This window comes from Homo sapiens, chromosome 22, assembly GCF_000001405.40.
Source record: "Homo sapiens chromosome 22, GRCh38.p14 Primary Assembly".
NCBI lineage: Eukaryota > Metazoa > Chordata > Mammalia > Primates > Hominidae > Homo > Homo sapiens.
The window spans coordinates 23,632,870-23,648,302 of NC_000022.11; the positions used below are offsets into that span (position 1 = coordinate 23,632,870).

Below are 15,433 nucleotides of genomic sequence, written 5' to 3' on the forward strand. Positions count from 1 at the left end.
ACACCATTGCACTCCAGCCTGGGTGACAAAGGTGCAACTGTCTTTAAAAAAAAAAAAAAAAAAGAAACAAAAGAAAGAAAACCCCAGTTACTAAAGTCAGTTCCACCAGCAGTTCTGTTTTTCTGAGTCTGACAGCTTTCATTTGCTCACCAAATGTAGTTATACACAAATTTTTTACTGCTTTTCTAATTAAATGCTTCTCTCCTGTCTTACAAGTGTTAGTTCTTGTCTGCAACTTGACCATAGCTACCCCCAGGGCCCTGGTCCCACTCTCAATAGAGAGTTATGGCTGTGTATCCTCAGTGAAACCCTGGGACACATCACACTTCCCTCCTCGTCTATAAAATAGGGACTGAACACATCCTTCCCAGTTCTGTAATGCTACGACCTACCAACTCCCTTTTCTCGCTCTGTTTCTTCTTTCCATGGCAGGGGTATTCAGATATTTCTTTTATTTACTTATTTATTTATTTTTTGAGATGGACTATTGCTCTGTCGACCAGGCTGGAGTGCAGTGGCACGATCTCGGCTCACTGTAACCTCCACCTCCCAGGTTCAAGCGATTCTCCAGCCTCAGCCTCCTGAGTAGCCTGGACTACAGGCACACGCCACCGCATCTGGCTAATTTTTGTATTTCTAGTAGAGACGAGGGTTTCACCATGTTGGTCAGGCTGGTCTTGAACTCATCTCAGGTGATCCACCCGCCTCGTCCTCCCAAAGTGCTGGGATTACAGGCATGAACCACCATGCCCAGCCTCAGGTATTTCTTTTACTAACAAATCATAAAACATTATTTTCTTATACAAAATTGAGAACCCCACAGTGGGGTACCATTGTCCTCATAGGACAAAGACAAATAGTCAATATCTGGCAAGCATTATGTGCCTGACAGTGTTCCAACTGTGGCATACTAATTTAACCCTCAGAAATAGTCCCATTTTACACATCTTACAGCGTAAATCTAGAGGGAAAAGTCAAGTAACTTCCCCAAGGTCCCACAACTGCTCAGTGAGTTCAGGCAGATGAGCAAACAAAGGCTTAGAGTTCAGTTGTCTGAGGCTACACTGCAAAACAGTGGATGAACCTGGAATACAAAGGCTCATTCACTGTCCAGCAGTAGAGTTGAAGTAGAGTTTAAGTTTTATTCTGGAAACATGAGAGTCACGGAACCACACAGAGGTGAGGAGTCTCTATCAGATGTGTTTGCAGTGAGGTCTCTCTGCACAATAGAGAAGGACTCATGGAACCAGTGGGACCAATTAAGAGACATGATGTTGGGAGGCCAAGGTGAGTGGATCATTTGAGGTCAGGAGTTCGAGACCAGCCTGGCCAACATGGTGAAACCCCATGTCTACTAAAAATACAAAAATTAGCCTGGCATGATGGCGGGTACCTGTAGTCCCATCTACCCAAGGGGCTGAGGCAGGAGAATCGCTTGAACCCAGGAGGTGGAGGTTGCAGTGAGCCAAGATCACACCACTGAACTCCAGCCTGGGCAACAGGGAGAGATTCTGTCTCAAAAAAAAAGAGAGAGAGACATTATGTTCATCTGGAAGAACAGATAAGGCCAAAGGAAGTAGAAATGACTGAAGTGGACAGAGAAGTTCTGTGATCATTTGGCAGAGAGAACAGAAAGTGCTAGAGGATTAGATGTGGAAGAACAGGGGAAGGAAAAGGAAAAACAGGCTGCTAAGGCTCTAGTTTGAAGGACTGGGTAAATAGCAGTGAATGTCTCCTACAAAGACAATGTAGGAAGAGGAATAGGTATGGGGAATAAGATAGTTTTCGGCTGGGTGCAATGACTCACGCCTGTAATCCCAGCACTTTGGAAGGCCGAGCTGGGTGGATTATGAGGTCAGGAGTTCGAGATCAGCCTGGCCAACATGGTGAAACCCCATTTCTACTAAAATTACAAAAATTAGCCGGGTGCGATGATGGGCACCTGTAATCCCAGCTACTCAGGAGACTGAGGCAGGAGAATTGCTTAAACCTGGGGGGCGGAGTTTGCAGTGAGCCGAGATTGTGCCACTGCACTCTAGCCTGGGTGACAGCGTGAGACTCTGTCTCAAAAAAAAAAAAAAAACACCACATAGTTTTGGACTCTTAAGTATCGCATTGAAATGGAGCTCTCTGGTAGAAAGTTGGACAGAAACCTCTGTAGGCTAAGTCCATTCTGTGACATCACAACTCATGTTTTAAAAAATACACCCACAAAGTCAAACCATTTAGGAAATTTCCTAAAATTTACATACTCAAATATGACAACTTTTTAGTTATTACTTTCTTAGAGCAACTTCGAATTTACAATCGTAGTGAATGAGGTGTCATGTAAAATAGAACTGTTATATAAAAACAACATTTGAATTTTATTCTCATCAGAGCATATAGAAAACAATTGAAGCCATGGGTATGGCAGGGATTGCTTTAAAAAGCTGTGCCTGATAAGGGGAATTGGAAAGAAAGGAGACTTGGGGGCTGGGTGCGGTGGCTCATGCCTGTAATCCCAACACTTTGGGAGGCCTAAGCAGGTGGATCACCAGAGGTCCGGAGGAGTTCGAGACCAGCCTGGCCAACGTGGTGAAACCCCGTCACTACTAAAAATACAAAAATTAGCTGGGCATGGTGGTGGGCACCTGTAATCCCAGCTATTTGGGAGGCTGAGGCAGGAGAATTGCTTGAACCCAGGAGACGGACGTTGCAGTGAGCCGAGATGGTGCCACTGCACTTCAGCCTGGGTGACAGAGCAAGACTCTGTCTTAAAAAAAAAAAGAAAAGAAAGAAGACTTGGGGAATAGGGAGATTTAAGTGGCATTAAGTAAAGCCTGCAAATGTGAGCAGGGAGTGTCAAGGTACCTGAGTGTTCATCAGAAATGGCTGATCGAGTGAGTCTCATCACAATGGAGCTGGTGTCTGCTTCTCATTTCTCTAATGGCCACACCTAGCACAGTACCTGGTCAATAGGGACTCAATACCTGATACCCCAATGAACAGAGTAAAATTCTGCCAGTTCAAACACACGTCCATGCCCACCAACTTCCCTCGTGGAGTTTTACTTCTTTCACTTACTGTAATGTTTTGAAGATCATCCCTCCTGTGACCTGTATCCATAGTTTCTTTTCCTTGTGTAACTGAGCAGTACTCCACTGTATGCACAGACCACATGGGTCTATCCATTCTCTAGCTGACGGACACTTGGGTTGTTTCCAGTTGCTGCCTATAGTGAATGAGGCTGCTGAGAACATTTATGTACACGTCTTTTTGGAACACATGCTTTCATTTCTTCTAGATAAATTCCTAGGGCTAGAATTGCTAGGTCAAATGGCTAGTTTATGCTTAACTTCTTTTTTTTTGCCTTTCTTATTCATAGAAATTACACTGATACATAATATTGGACATTTCTATGAGGTGCATGTGCTGTTTGGTTCCGTGCATCCACCATGTCATCATCAAGTCAGGATATTTGGGGTATGGCCTTGAGTATTTATCATTTCTATGTGTTGAGTATATTTCAGTTCTCTCTTGTAGCTATTTTGAAATATACAATACATTATTGCTAACCATAGTCACCCTACTCTGCTATCCAACATTAGAACACATTCCTTGCATCTAACTGTAAGTGTGTATTCATTGACCAACCTCTCTGCATTCCCTTCTTATACCCAGAGAAGGAGAGAGGAAGGAGGGAAAGGAGCTGTGGTTGGGCTGAATTAGGGCCCAGGGACGGCTGTGTCCCAGTCCCGGGACCTGTCCATGTGCTGTGTTGTGTGGCCTCAGGGACTTTACAGATGTGATGATGTCAAGGGGCCTGAGGTGGAAGATGATCCTGGGTTATGTGGGTGGGTCCAAGGTGGGGTCTTTATAAGGGAAAGGAGGAGGCAGGAGGGTCAGAGTGACAGCAGGTGTGGGGCTGGAGGACAAGAAAGGGAGAGAAGGAGGGAGGGTGAGAGAAGACAGTTGGCAGGGAGAGAGAGAGAGAGAGAGAAGAGTGGGAGAGAGATTTGAAGATGCTGAGCTCTGGCTTTGAAGTTGGAAGAAGGGGCCAGGAGCCCAGGGCGTCCTCTAGAAGCTGGAAAAATCCTGGAAATGGATTCTCCCCAGAGCCCTCAGAAGGAGCCTGGCCCAGCTGGCACCCTGATTTTAGCACTCTACGATTCATTTTGGATGGCTAACCTCCAGACCAGGGAGAGAACCAATGTGTGATGTTTTAGGGGTCATTTGTGACAGCAGCCACAGGAAAGTCAAACAGGAGCCATGGGAGAGACTCCCTAGGATGCACCGAGGGTCCCTCCCTGGCCCCACCCACAGAAACACAGGCCTGACCACTGCTAGTGCCCCCACCCCTCTAACACCCTGATGAGCAGGAACCATGCAGGAGGGGCTGGGTGTGGCTGGGCCCTGTTCTCTCCCCCGACACCTTCTCAGAGAGGAGCTGGAGCCCCAGACCCTGGGAGCCTCACAGATATTCCCAACACAGGACCTGGTTTTCCATTTCCCAAAATGATGCTTCCTCCAAAGATGGCCAGTGACTCTCTGTGCCAAGCATCTGAGAAACTCTCCAGGTCCTAGGGCTGCCAGGCAGTCAGCTGTGCACATGTTGGAGCCCAAATCCCATCAATAGTGAGGCCCTGGGTAAAACACATCCCCACTTTTAATTATGAGGAGATGCCTGGCCTCAGCATTGAGAACACCAACTTCCCTCAAGTGAAAACTTATTTAATCTCTTAGAAATGATGGAGCACACCAGCCTGAACAACATGGTGAAACCCTGTCTGTAATAAAAACACAAAAATTAGCCGGACATTGCAGCATCTACCTGTAATCCCGGCTACTCAGGAGGCTGAGGCAGGAGAATTGGTTGAACCTGGGAGACAGAGGTTACGGTGAGCCAAGATCGAGCCATTGCACTCCAGCCTGGGCGACAGAGTGAGACTCCATCTAAAAAAAAAAGAAAGAAATGATGGAGCACCTATTACCCTTCTTGCACTGGTTCCTGGGGAGCTCAGAGCCTATCTTTTGCAAGTGTCCTGATCCTCTTGCAGGCCTTTCATGTGTGTTTTCTTTCTGGCTTCCTCCTGTTTTTCTCACACTTCTGAACCTGCTGTCACGTGAAGAATCAAGGTGGGCCCAAAATGTAAGAGCTCATGGATTTGATGGTGTTGGAGTGTCCTGGACAGTCCAGCTCTCGGGGTGGGGAGTTGCGCAGAGAGGAAGGAGGGCATTCCAGGGGCCAGGGCCAGAAGCAGAGGGACTCCAGGCCCAGAGTAGGATTTCCAGGCTGAGGAAAGAGAGGCCGTGGGTGGGTAGAGGGTCCAGACCAGGACAGGGACACAGGGTGTATCTGGAGGCTCAGCCAGAAATAGCTCCCTACAGAAAGCAGGCAGCGAGTTGGGGGTTGAGCTGCAAGGAGGAAGGGGAGGAGGGAGAGAATGGAGGGACTGGTGTCCAGTGAGCTGACTCCTATCCTGGCCTATTTCCCCAGGGGACACCCCTGGGAGACTGTGATCCTCTCCTCCAGGCTACTTTCCCACTGGTGCCAGGATTCCCCCAGTGCCACACTGAGAACCCAGGAGAAGCATTAGATTATATGAGAGATAAGAAATGAAGAGAGGGAGCAGGATTTCTGGCTGACAAAGATATTTATTGAGGGTTTACTGGGTACAGCGAGAAGGGCTGAATGGCTTGGGATGCAGAGAGAGACCCCTCCCCTGGGATCCTGCAGCTCCAGGCCCCTGTGGGTGGGGTGGGGGCTGGAACCTATGAACATTCTGCAGGGGCCACTGACTTCTCCACGGTGCTCCCTTCTTGCATAACCTGGCAGCTGTAGCTTCTGCGGGACCTCCACTGCTCGGGCGTCAGGCTCAGGTAGCTGCTGGCCACGTACTTGTTGTTGCTCTGTTTGGAGGGCGTGGTCTTCTCCACGCTCTGGGTGATGAGGGTACCATCTGCCTTCCAGGTCACCATCAAGATTCCCGGATAAAGTTATTCATGAGACACACCAGTGTGGCCTTGTTGGCTTGGGGCTCCTCACAGGACGGCAGGAACAGAATGACCGACGGGGTAGTCTTGGGCTGACCTGTGTGGACAGAGGAGGGGGTGAGAGATGGCAGAGGGAGTGTGGGGTGTTGTGGAGCGCCTCTCTCTGTCTAAAGTCTCTGGGAGGGTTCATGGTGTGGCCGTCTGGTCCACCCAGGGCCTCTCCTTCCCTCCTCATTCCCTCCTTTCCACTGGAGCCCTCTGCAGAGCAGACAGCCCTGTGCCTTCCTAGGAGCCCTTCCCAAGTCACCTTTCCCAGGTGTCCTGGCCCAGCCCTTTCCTCTGCAGCCTCAGTTTCCCCGTGTGTACCCAGGGCAGGCTGTGCTCCCTCCTTCCTGGTTTCTGGAGTCTGAGTTTGGAATCTAGGGGTCTCCCTCACAGCACACAAAACTGACCTGGCAGGGTGTGGGGAGGCCCAAGCCTGGCATGGCCTGGAGCTTCCCGTCCCCTGGGGCACCAGGCTATGCCCCAGCCTGGCCCACTCAGCTCTCCTGGTGAAGCGTGGGCTCCACCCAGACACACCCTGGGGCTCTGCCATCGCCCCTGTCCCCACCAGCCCAACCACAGGACCCTTCACATCGGCTGGGTTCTTGGGGCTGCTAACAGACTTCGGGGCACCGCAGCCCCCATGCCCACTCCAGCAGCCTCTGATACCCCTGGACTTCACCTGTCAGCCGTGGAGTTCTCTGCACTCCCGTTTACTCCCCACTAGTCACCTCCTGAGTCTAAGGTGCCCTTCCTCAAATGAAGGTGGGAGGTCGACCCTTCAACAGACACCGGGCCCCAGAGGTGATGGGACTCCAGGGACAGACACATCTCTGCACTAAGAGACCCTCTCCTTTCTTGGGACTGTCCAGGGAGGGCTGGGCCTTGGGACCTCTCCCAGTTTCACCCATCCCTCTGTGTCCCCATGTCCTCACGACCCAGCAGAGGCCACAGAGCTACACCCTAGACCCAGAGCCCTCTCTGCCCTCCATTGGTCTCCCCTTGGGATGACCCCTGTGTCCACAGGCCCCCGTGTGGCCCTCCCAGCCTGGATAGGCATCCAGCCCTCAGCCTAGACCCTGGGGTCCCAGGGACTGTCTCTAAGGCCACCGTACGGCCCCTCATCAGAACCGGCCTCTGTCCCTCATTCAGACATGTGCCCTGCCCAATCCCAGCCCAGGCCCCAGGACCAGGCTGTGTCCCACTGTTGGAACCTGAAGGCGGCTGCTCCCACTGTGGGAGCCCTTCATGCCAGTTAACCTGAGACTAGCCCGCTTCCCCCAGACCCTATGGAGAAAGGAAGGGTTCCGTGCTTAAGGCTTGGAGGGCAAAGGGGAAGAAGCCCCAGAGAACGAAAACAGATTTTTGCAGAGACAGGAGAGGGTGCGACAGGCTAGGGAAAGTTGTGAGAGCCACGTACCTAAAACAGTGAGCTGGGTCCCACTGCCAAACACATGCTTCACTGAATTATGCTTGGATTGAAACCCCCAGGGCCAGCATCTGGCGCCAGTCCAGGAGCCACGCTGGAGCAGGAACCTGCTGGGTGTGAGGGGCACAGGGCTGCAGTGTGTAGGCTGTGACCCAGGCACAGGGCAGGGGGGTGGCCAGTATCCCAGTAGTGTCCCCCAGTAGTGTCTCTGTGCCTGTTCTCTATCTGAGGCAGGTGCCGCCCACAGCCTTGGAGTCACCCCAGCATATGTCCCCCTCTCTGAAGCTGTTGGTGCTGATGGCAACGCTGGGCCCAGTAGGTCCCAGCAACTCCCTGAGTGACACATCCCCTCAGGCAGCTGTGCCGTGTGGCTGAGGAGTCCTCAGCTGGCTCGGACCTGTCCACCTCACTTGGCCTCATTTTAAGGGCCTCTGAAATCTGCCACAAGTGTCTGCAGTCAAGCCAAGTTGACTTGCTCCCTGGACCAGGACATTGGGTCATTCCTGACTCAAGAGGAGAGTCCTCTGCTTTTGTATCTACCCATGGAGATGCAGCTCAGTCTCACTTTGTTCATGAAGCCTTTTCTGATCATTCATTCCGTCTGTCCGTCCATCCATCTGTCCATCTATTCATCTGTCTTTGCATCCATCTATCATCTGTCCATTCATCCACCTACCTATCCATCCATCCATAAATCCATCCTGTCTACCAGGCACTGTTTCGTGTACTGGGGACATGGTGTGGTCCCCCAGGCTCTCACCCCCATCCATCCCAGGTCATGGCCAACAAGGCCCTCCTCATGGTCATGTCCAAGGTCCTTCTGCTGTACCTGGTGTCTCTGCTGGATGTGACACAGAGCTGGCCCCTCCTTCCAGTGACTCTTTTCCCCTTGAGGTCTGACTCCCCTTTCCTCTTCCCCGGCATCTGTTTCTCCACGGCCCATGCCTGGCTGCTGACTCCCCAGACCCCCACCCAGACCTCTTTCTTGGCCGTCTTTACACTCTGTGACCCCCACTATTGCCCACATGGTGAGGCTGGAGTCTATCTCAGCTCCAAACCCTCTCAGCTCCTCAACTGCCTACTGACCTTGCCCAGTGGGCTACCCAACAGGAGTCTCAAACTAATCACTTCCAGAGATGACCACCTTCCCCCAGCCCAACTCATTTTCTGTCTTCATCTCATCACAATGACCATGGGCGGTCTCAACCCCACAGCCAGAAACCTGGAGTCCCTGGATTCAGTCACCTCGCCTCCCACACTGAAATGGCTTCTGTGTACTTAGCTACTGCATCTAGACATTCCTTTTTTTTTTTCTTTGAGACAGAGTCTTGCTCTGTCACCCAGGCTGGCGTGATCTCAGCTCACTGCAACCTCTGCCTCCCACGTTCTAGACGATTCTCTTGTCTCAGCCTCCAGAGTAGCTGGGATTACAGGCATGCACCACCACACCCGGCTAATTTTGTATTTTTAGTAGAGGCGGGGTTTCACCATGTTGGCCAGGCTGGTCTCAAACTCCTGACCTCAGGTGATTCCCACGCCTTGGCCTCCCAAAGTGCTGGGATTAGAGGCATGAGCCACCGCACCCGGTGACATTCCCTTTAAAGCTAAAATAAGACTCAATATAATTAAGAAACAATAAAACCACCTTCTGAGACTCTAAAACCACAAAAAGTGTGAACTTTGCTTTTCTGGATTTTAATCTCAAACTCTCTTTGGTACAAGGATTTGGTGTTGAACTGGGGCTTACTGGGTGCAAGTTCCCTGCCAGGGGTTCAGACCAGAGTGTTTCTACCTTAGAAGCTGGTCTAGTAATTGGTATTGGTTTTGTGTGGTAAATATAAGATTTTTAAAATTTATTTGTTGACACAGGGTCTCGCTCTGACACCCAGACTGGAGTGAAGTGGCGCCATCACAGCTCACTGCAGCCTTGATCTCCTGGGCTCAAGCGATCCTCCCACCTCAGCCTCCTGAGTAGCCGGCACCACAGGCATGTGCTACCACGCCCAGCTAATTTTCTTTTAATATTTTTTTGTAGAAATGGGGACTCACCATGTTGCCCAGGCTGGTCTCGAGCTCCTGGGCCTCCCAAAGTGCTGGGATTATAGGCATGAGCCACCATGCCCAGTGGTATTTTATTTTTCTTTTCCTTTTTTTTTGAGACGGAGTCTTGCTCTGTCACCAGGCTGGAGCGCAGTGATGCGACTCAGCTCACTGCAACCTCCGCCTCCTGGGTTCAAGCAATTATCCGGCCTCAGCCTCCAAGTAGCTAGGACTGCAGGTGCGTACCACCACACCTAGCTAATTTTTGTACTTTTAGTAGAGTCAGGGTTTCACCATGTTGGCCATTATGGTCTCAAACTCCTGACCTCGTGATCCACCCACCTCAGCCTCCCAAAGTGCTGGGATTATAGGTGTAAGCCACTGTGCCTGGCCTTTATTTCTTATTTTCAAAAAAACTTTTTTTTTTTTTTTGAGATGGAGTCTTGCTCAGTCACCCAGGCTGGAGTGCAGTGGCGGCATCTTGGCTCACTGCAACCTCCACCTCCCGGGTTTAAGCGATTCTCCTGCTTCAGCCTCCAAGTAGCTGGGACTACAGGCGAGTGCCACCACGCCTGGCTAATTTTTGTATTTTCACTAGAGATGGGGTTTCACCATATTGGTCAGGCTGGTCTTGAACTCCTGACCTCGTGATCTCCGTGCCTCAGCCTCCCAAAGTGCTGGGATTACCGGCATGAGCCACCACCCCCAGCTTTTTTTTTTCTTGACTGAGTCTCACTCTGTTGCCCAGCCTGGAGTGCAGTAGTATGATCTCGGCTCACTGCAACTTCCGCCTCCTGAGTTCCTGGGTTCAAGCAATTCTCATGCCTCAGCCTCTCAAGTAGCTGGGACTACAGGCATGCACCACCACACCCAGCTAACTTTTCTATTTTTTACAGAGACAGGGTTTCACCATGTTGGCCAGGCTGGTCTCGAACTCCTGACCTCAAGTGATCTGCCCACCTGGGCCTCCCAAAGTCCTGGAATTACAGGCGTGAGCCACCATGCCCAGCCCCAAAAAAATCTTTACTCTTTTAAAACTATGAGAATATAACAATGAAGACAATTAAGGAATAGACAAGTGCATTTAAGAAGTGCAATATTGGGCTGGCCTCCGTGGCTCACACCTGTAATCCTAACACTTTGGGAGGCCAAGGTGGGCAGATTGCCTGAGCTCAGGAGTTTGAGACCAGCTTTGGCAACATGGTGAAACCCCGTCTCTACTAAAAATACAAAATTAGCCGGGCATGGTGGCGCATGCCTGTAATCCCAGCTACTCGGGAGGCTGAGGCAGGAGAATTGCTTGAACCTGGATGGCAGAGGTTGTGGTGAGCCAAGATTGTGCCATTGCACTCCAGCTTGGGCAACAAGAGTGAAACTCTGTCTCAAAAAAAAAAAAAAAAAAAAAAAATTAGCTGGGCATGGGTGTGCGCCTAGTCCCAGCTACTCAGGAGGCTGAGGCAGAATTGCTTGAACCTGGGAGGTGGAGGCTGCAGTGAGCTGAGATCGTGCCATTGCACTCCAGCCTGGGCAACAAGAGCAGAACTCCATCTCAAAAAAAAAAAAAAAAAAAAAAAGAAGTGTAATATTGGCTGGGAGTGGTGGCTCACACCTGTATTCCCAGAACTTTTGGAGGCCGAGGCGGGCGGATCATGAGGTCAAGAGATCGAGACCATCCTGGCCAACATGGTGAAACCCCGTCTCTACTAAAAATACAAAAATTAGCTGGGCGTGGTAGCACACAGCTGTAGTCCCAGCTACTCTGGATGCTGAGGCAGGAGAATGGCTTGAACCCAGGAGGTGGAGGTTGCAGTGAGCCAAGATCGTGCCACTGCACCCCAGTCTGGCAACAGAGCAAGACTCCATCTCAAAAAAAAAAAAAAAAGTATATTTATCTCTCCCTCTCTCTCCTGCTACATAGAGCCCCATTTCCTTTTTTTTTTTTTTTTAGACAGAGTTTCACGCTTGTTGCCCAGGCTGGAGTGCAATGGCACAATCTTGGCTCACTGTAACCTCTGCCTCCCAGATTCAAGCCATTCTCCTGCCTCAGCCTCCCAAGTAGCTGGGATTACAGGCATGCACTACCACGCCTGGCTAATTTTTTGCATTTTTAGCAGAGACAGGGTTTCTCCATGTTGGTCAGGCTGGACTCGAACTTCTGACCTCAGGTGATCTGCCTGCCTCGGCCTCCCAAAATGCTGGGATTACAGGTGTGAGCCACCACGCCCAGCTCCATTTTTATTATTGCAGTAAAACATACATAGCATCAATATTTCCACTTTAACTATTTTTAAAAGTACAGCTCCGTGGCACTAAGTACATTCACACTGTTGGGCAACCTTCACCACCATCCATCTCCAGAACTCTTTCATCTTCCCAACCAGAAACTCTAAACCCATTAACTACAGTCCCACATTCTTCCTTCCCTCTCGTCCCAGTAACATCAAATCTACTTTTTGTCTATGTGAATTTGCCTATTCTAGGTACCTCATAAAAGTGGATTCAAATGACATTTGTCCATTTGTGTCTGGCTTATTTCACTAAGTATAATGTCTTCAAGTTTCATCCATGTTGTAGAACAGGCAGGTGCCTGTAACCCCAGCTACTCGGGAGGCTGAGGCAAGAGAATCGCTTGAACCCAGGAGGCAGAGCGTGTGCACCTGTAATCCCAGTTACTGGGGAGGCTGAGGCACGAGAATTGCTTGAGTCCAGGAGACTGAGGTTGCAGTGAACTGAGATCTCACCACTGCACTCCAGCCTGGGTAACAATGAGACTCTGTCTCAGAAAAAAAAAAAATCAGTGCTATTTTATCTTCAGTGTGTTATGATTAAACTTCTATAATTGTCTATTGCACTAAGTTTATTATTTGTATTAAACTTTAGATTCATGGGGTACATGTGTAGGTATGTTCCATGAGTACATTGCAAAATGCTAAGGTTTGGGCTTCTAGTGAACCCATCACCCAAACACTGACCATAGTACCCAATAGGTAGTTTTTCAACCCCTTCCCCCTCCTTCCCTCCCCACCTGTGGAGTTCCCAGTGTCTGTTATTTCCATCTTTATGTCCATTTGAACCAATTGTTTAGCTATTTATTTATTTATTTTATTTTTTTGAGACAGAGTCTCTCTCCTTTGCCCCGGCTGGAGTGCAGTGGCGCCATCTCAGCTCACTGCAACCTCCCCCTCCCGGGTTCAAGCGATTCTCCTGCCTCAGCCTTCTGAGTAGCTGGGATTACAGGCACGCGCCACCACACCAGGTGAACTTTTGCAATTTTAATAGAAATGGGGTTTCACCATGTTGGCCAGGCTGATATCAAACTCCTGGCCTCAAGTGATCCACCTGCTTTCCCCTCCCCAAGTGCTGGGATTATAGGCATGAGCCACTGCACCAGGCCTATTTTTAAATAATACTTAATTTTCTTTCATTTTATTTGCTAATAATTTACAGTAGAATTATATAATGATGTTGATTTTTTTTTTGGGGGGGACAGGGTCTCACTCTGTCACCCAGGCTGGAGTGCAATGGCTCAATCATGCTTTGCTGCAGCCTCAAATTCCTGGGCTCAAGTGATCCTCCCATCTCAGCCTCCCGAGCAGCTGGGACTACAGGCACGCACCACCATGCCCAGCTAATTTTTCTATTTTTTGTGGAGGCAGGGTCTTGCTATGTTGCCCAGGCTGGTCTCAAACTCCTGAGCTCAAGCAATCTGCCTGTCTTGGCTTCCCAAAGTGCTGGGATTACAGGCATAAACCACTGTCCCTGGCCTAATAATGTAGAATTTTACTTAATGCTTCATAATATGATTTTAAAAGTTTGTATCTGAAATGTATTTAAATATGTAGTTTGATCTTTTGAAAAACATTTGAATTCCTAACAGATTATAACATACTAGTTGTGCCCAGGAGGTGGAGGTTGCAATGAGCAGAGATCACGTTGCTGCACTCCAGCCTGGGTGACAGAGCAAAACTCTGACTCAAAAAAAAAAAAAAAAAACAACTAGTTGTGTTAGGGTTCAAACCAGAGAAGCAGAATCAGTAGCAGAGATACACAGATTCATATATAAACATATAGGGACACACATCTGCATAGATTTATAAAAGGTTGGCTTCTGGCCGGGCACAGTGGCTCACACCTATAATCCCAGCACTTTGGGAGGCCGAGGCAGGCGGATCACCTGAGGTCAGGAGTTTGAGAGCAGCCTGGCCAACATGATGAAACTCTGTCTCTACTAAAAATACAAAAATTAGCCAGGGGTGGTGGTGCATGCCTGTAGATCCAGCAACTCAGGAGGCTGAGGCAGGAGAACTGCTTGAGCCCAGGAGTTAGAATCTAGCCTTAGCAGCCTAACAAGACCTTGGTTCTAAGAAAGATTTAAAAAATAGTCCGGCCGCGGTGGCTTACGCCTGTAGTCCCAGCACTCTGGGAGGCCAAGGCGGGTGGATCGCTTGAAGCCAGGAGTTCAAGACCAGCCTGGCCAACATGGTGAAACCCTGTCTCTACTAAAAATACAAAAATCAGTTGGGCGTGGTGGCACATGCCTGTAATCCCAGCTGCTCAGGAGGCTGAGGTGGAAGAATTGCTTGAATCTGGGAGGGAAAGGTTGCAGTGAGCCAAAATCACGCCACTGCACTCCAGCCTGGGTGACAGAGCGAGACCCTGTCTCAAAAAAATAAGAAAGATTTTAAAAATAAAACACTTTTAATATTTTAATTATTTCTTCCTTTAGCAGCACATTGAGAAGTTGAGTAAACTTTTTAAAACAGTTTTAGAATTACAGACAAATTGCCAAGATAGCACAGAGTTCACATATACCCTTGTACCTGGCTTCCTTGTTATGAACATCTTAAATTAATATGGTAAATTGCTACAGTTAAAAAACCTGGCTGGGCATGGTACCGCACGCCTATGATCCCAGCACTTTGGGAAGCCAAAGTGGGAGGATTGAGTCTTGGAGTTCAAGACTAGCCTGGGCAATACAGTGAGACCTTGCTTCACTTAAAAAAACATGTAAGGTCAGGCGCGGTGGCTCACGCCTAAAATCCCAGCACTTTGGGAGGCCGAGGCGGGCAGATCACCTGAGGTCTGGAGTTTGAGACCAGCCTGACCAACATGGAGAAATCCCGTCTCTACTAAAAATACAAAATTAGCCGAATGTGGTAGCGTATGCCTGTAATCCCAGCTACTCAAGAGGCTGATGCAGAAGAATCGCTTGAAACCAGGAGGCGGAGGTTGCGGTGAGCTGAGATCTCACCACTGCACTCCAGCCTGGGCAACAAGAGTGAAAATCCATCTCAAAAAAAAAAAAATTTTTTTTAATGAAAAAATTTTTGGAGAGATGTGGTCTTGCCCTGTTGCCTAGGCTGGAGCACGGTGGCACAGTCACAGCTCACTGCAGCCTCAAACTCCTGGGCTCAAGCAATTCTCCCTCCTCAGCCTCCCTGGCAGCTGGGACTATAAGTGCATACCACCATGCTGACTAAAATAAAAAACAATTTTTTTAGAGAGATGCGGTCTCACTATGTTGCCCAGGCTAGTCTCACACTTCTGACCTCAGGATCTTCCCACCTTAGCCTCCGAAAGTGCTAGGATGTGATACCATGCCTGGCCCCAATAAACCAATACTGATACATTATTATCAACTAAGGTTCATCTTGATTCAGATTTCTTTACTATTTCCCCTAATCTCCTTTTCCTGTCCCAGGATCTCATCCAGGACACCATACTATGTTTAGTTCTTAAGTGTCCTCAGGATTGCTGGAGTGCAGTGACTCCATCTCGGCTCACTGCAACCTCCGACCACTGAGTTCAAGCGACTCTCCTGCCTCAGCCTCCTGAGTTACTGGGATTACAGGCACCTGCCACCATGCCCGGCTAATTTGTTTTTTTGTTTTTTTGTTTGTTTTTTTTTTGAGAGGGAGTCTCCCTGTCGCCCAGGCTGGAGTGCAG

General features: G+C 49.3%; 1 long non-coding RNA gene and 1 pseudogene across 2 annotated transcripts in view, besides 1 other annotated feature; both read right to left on the minus strand.

The window, feature by feature from the left end:
- Nucleotides 1-6: 6 nt before the first annotated feature.
- On the minus strand, nt 7-4,863 carry LOC124905089 (uncharacterized). Its single transcript, XR_007068021.1, has 3 exons — nt 4,814-4,863; nt 3,067-3,214; nt 7-41 (listed from the first exon to the last, which is right to left on the minus strand). It is a non-coding gene; the product is annotated as an uncharacterized LOC124905089 (long non-coding RNA).
- Nucleotides 491-628: a silencer, noted in NCBI's record as "fragment chr22:23975547-23975684 (GRCh37/hg19 assembly coordinates)". NCBI's record gives its function as "represses an EF-1alpha promoter that drives an FKBP-Casp9 reporter gene in an ReSE screen in phorbol 12-myristate 13-acetate-treated (for megakaryocytic differentiation) K562 erythroleukemia cells {active_cell/tissue: K562(+PMA)}" and the evidence as "EXISTENCE:reporter gene assay evidence [ECO:0000049][PMID:32094911]".
- Nucleotides 5,618-15,433, minus strand: part of GUSBP11 (GUSB pseudogene 11) — a 78,937-nt pseudogene continuing 69,121 nt past the window's right edge. The window contains exon 12 of the transcript NR_024448.2: nt 5,618-6,073. The product of NR_024448.2 is annotated as a GUSB pseudogene 11 (transcript). The remainder of the gene's footprint in view (nt 6,074-15,433) is intronic.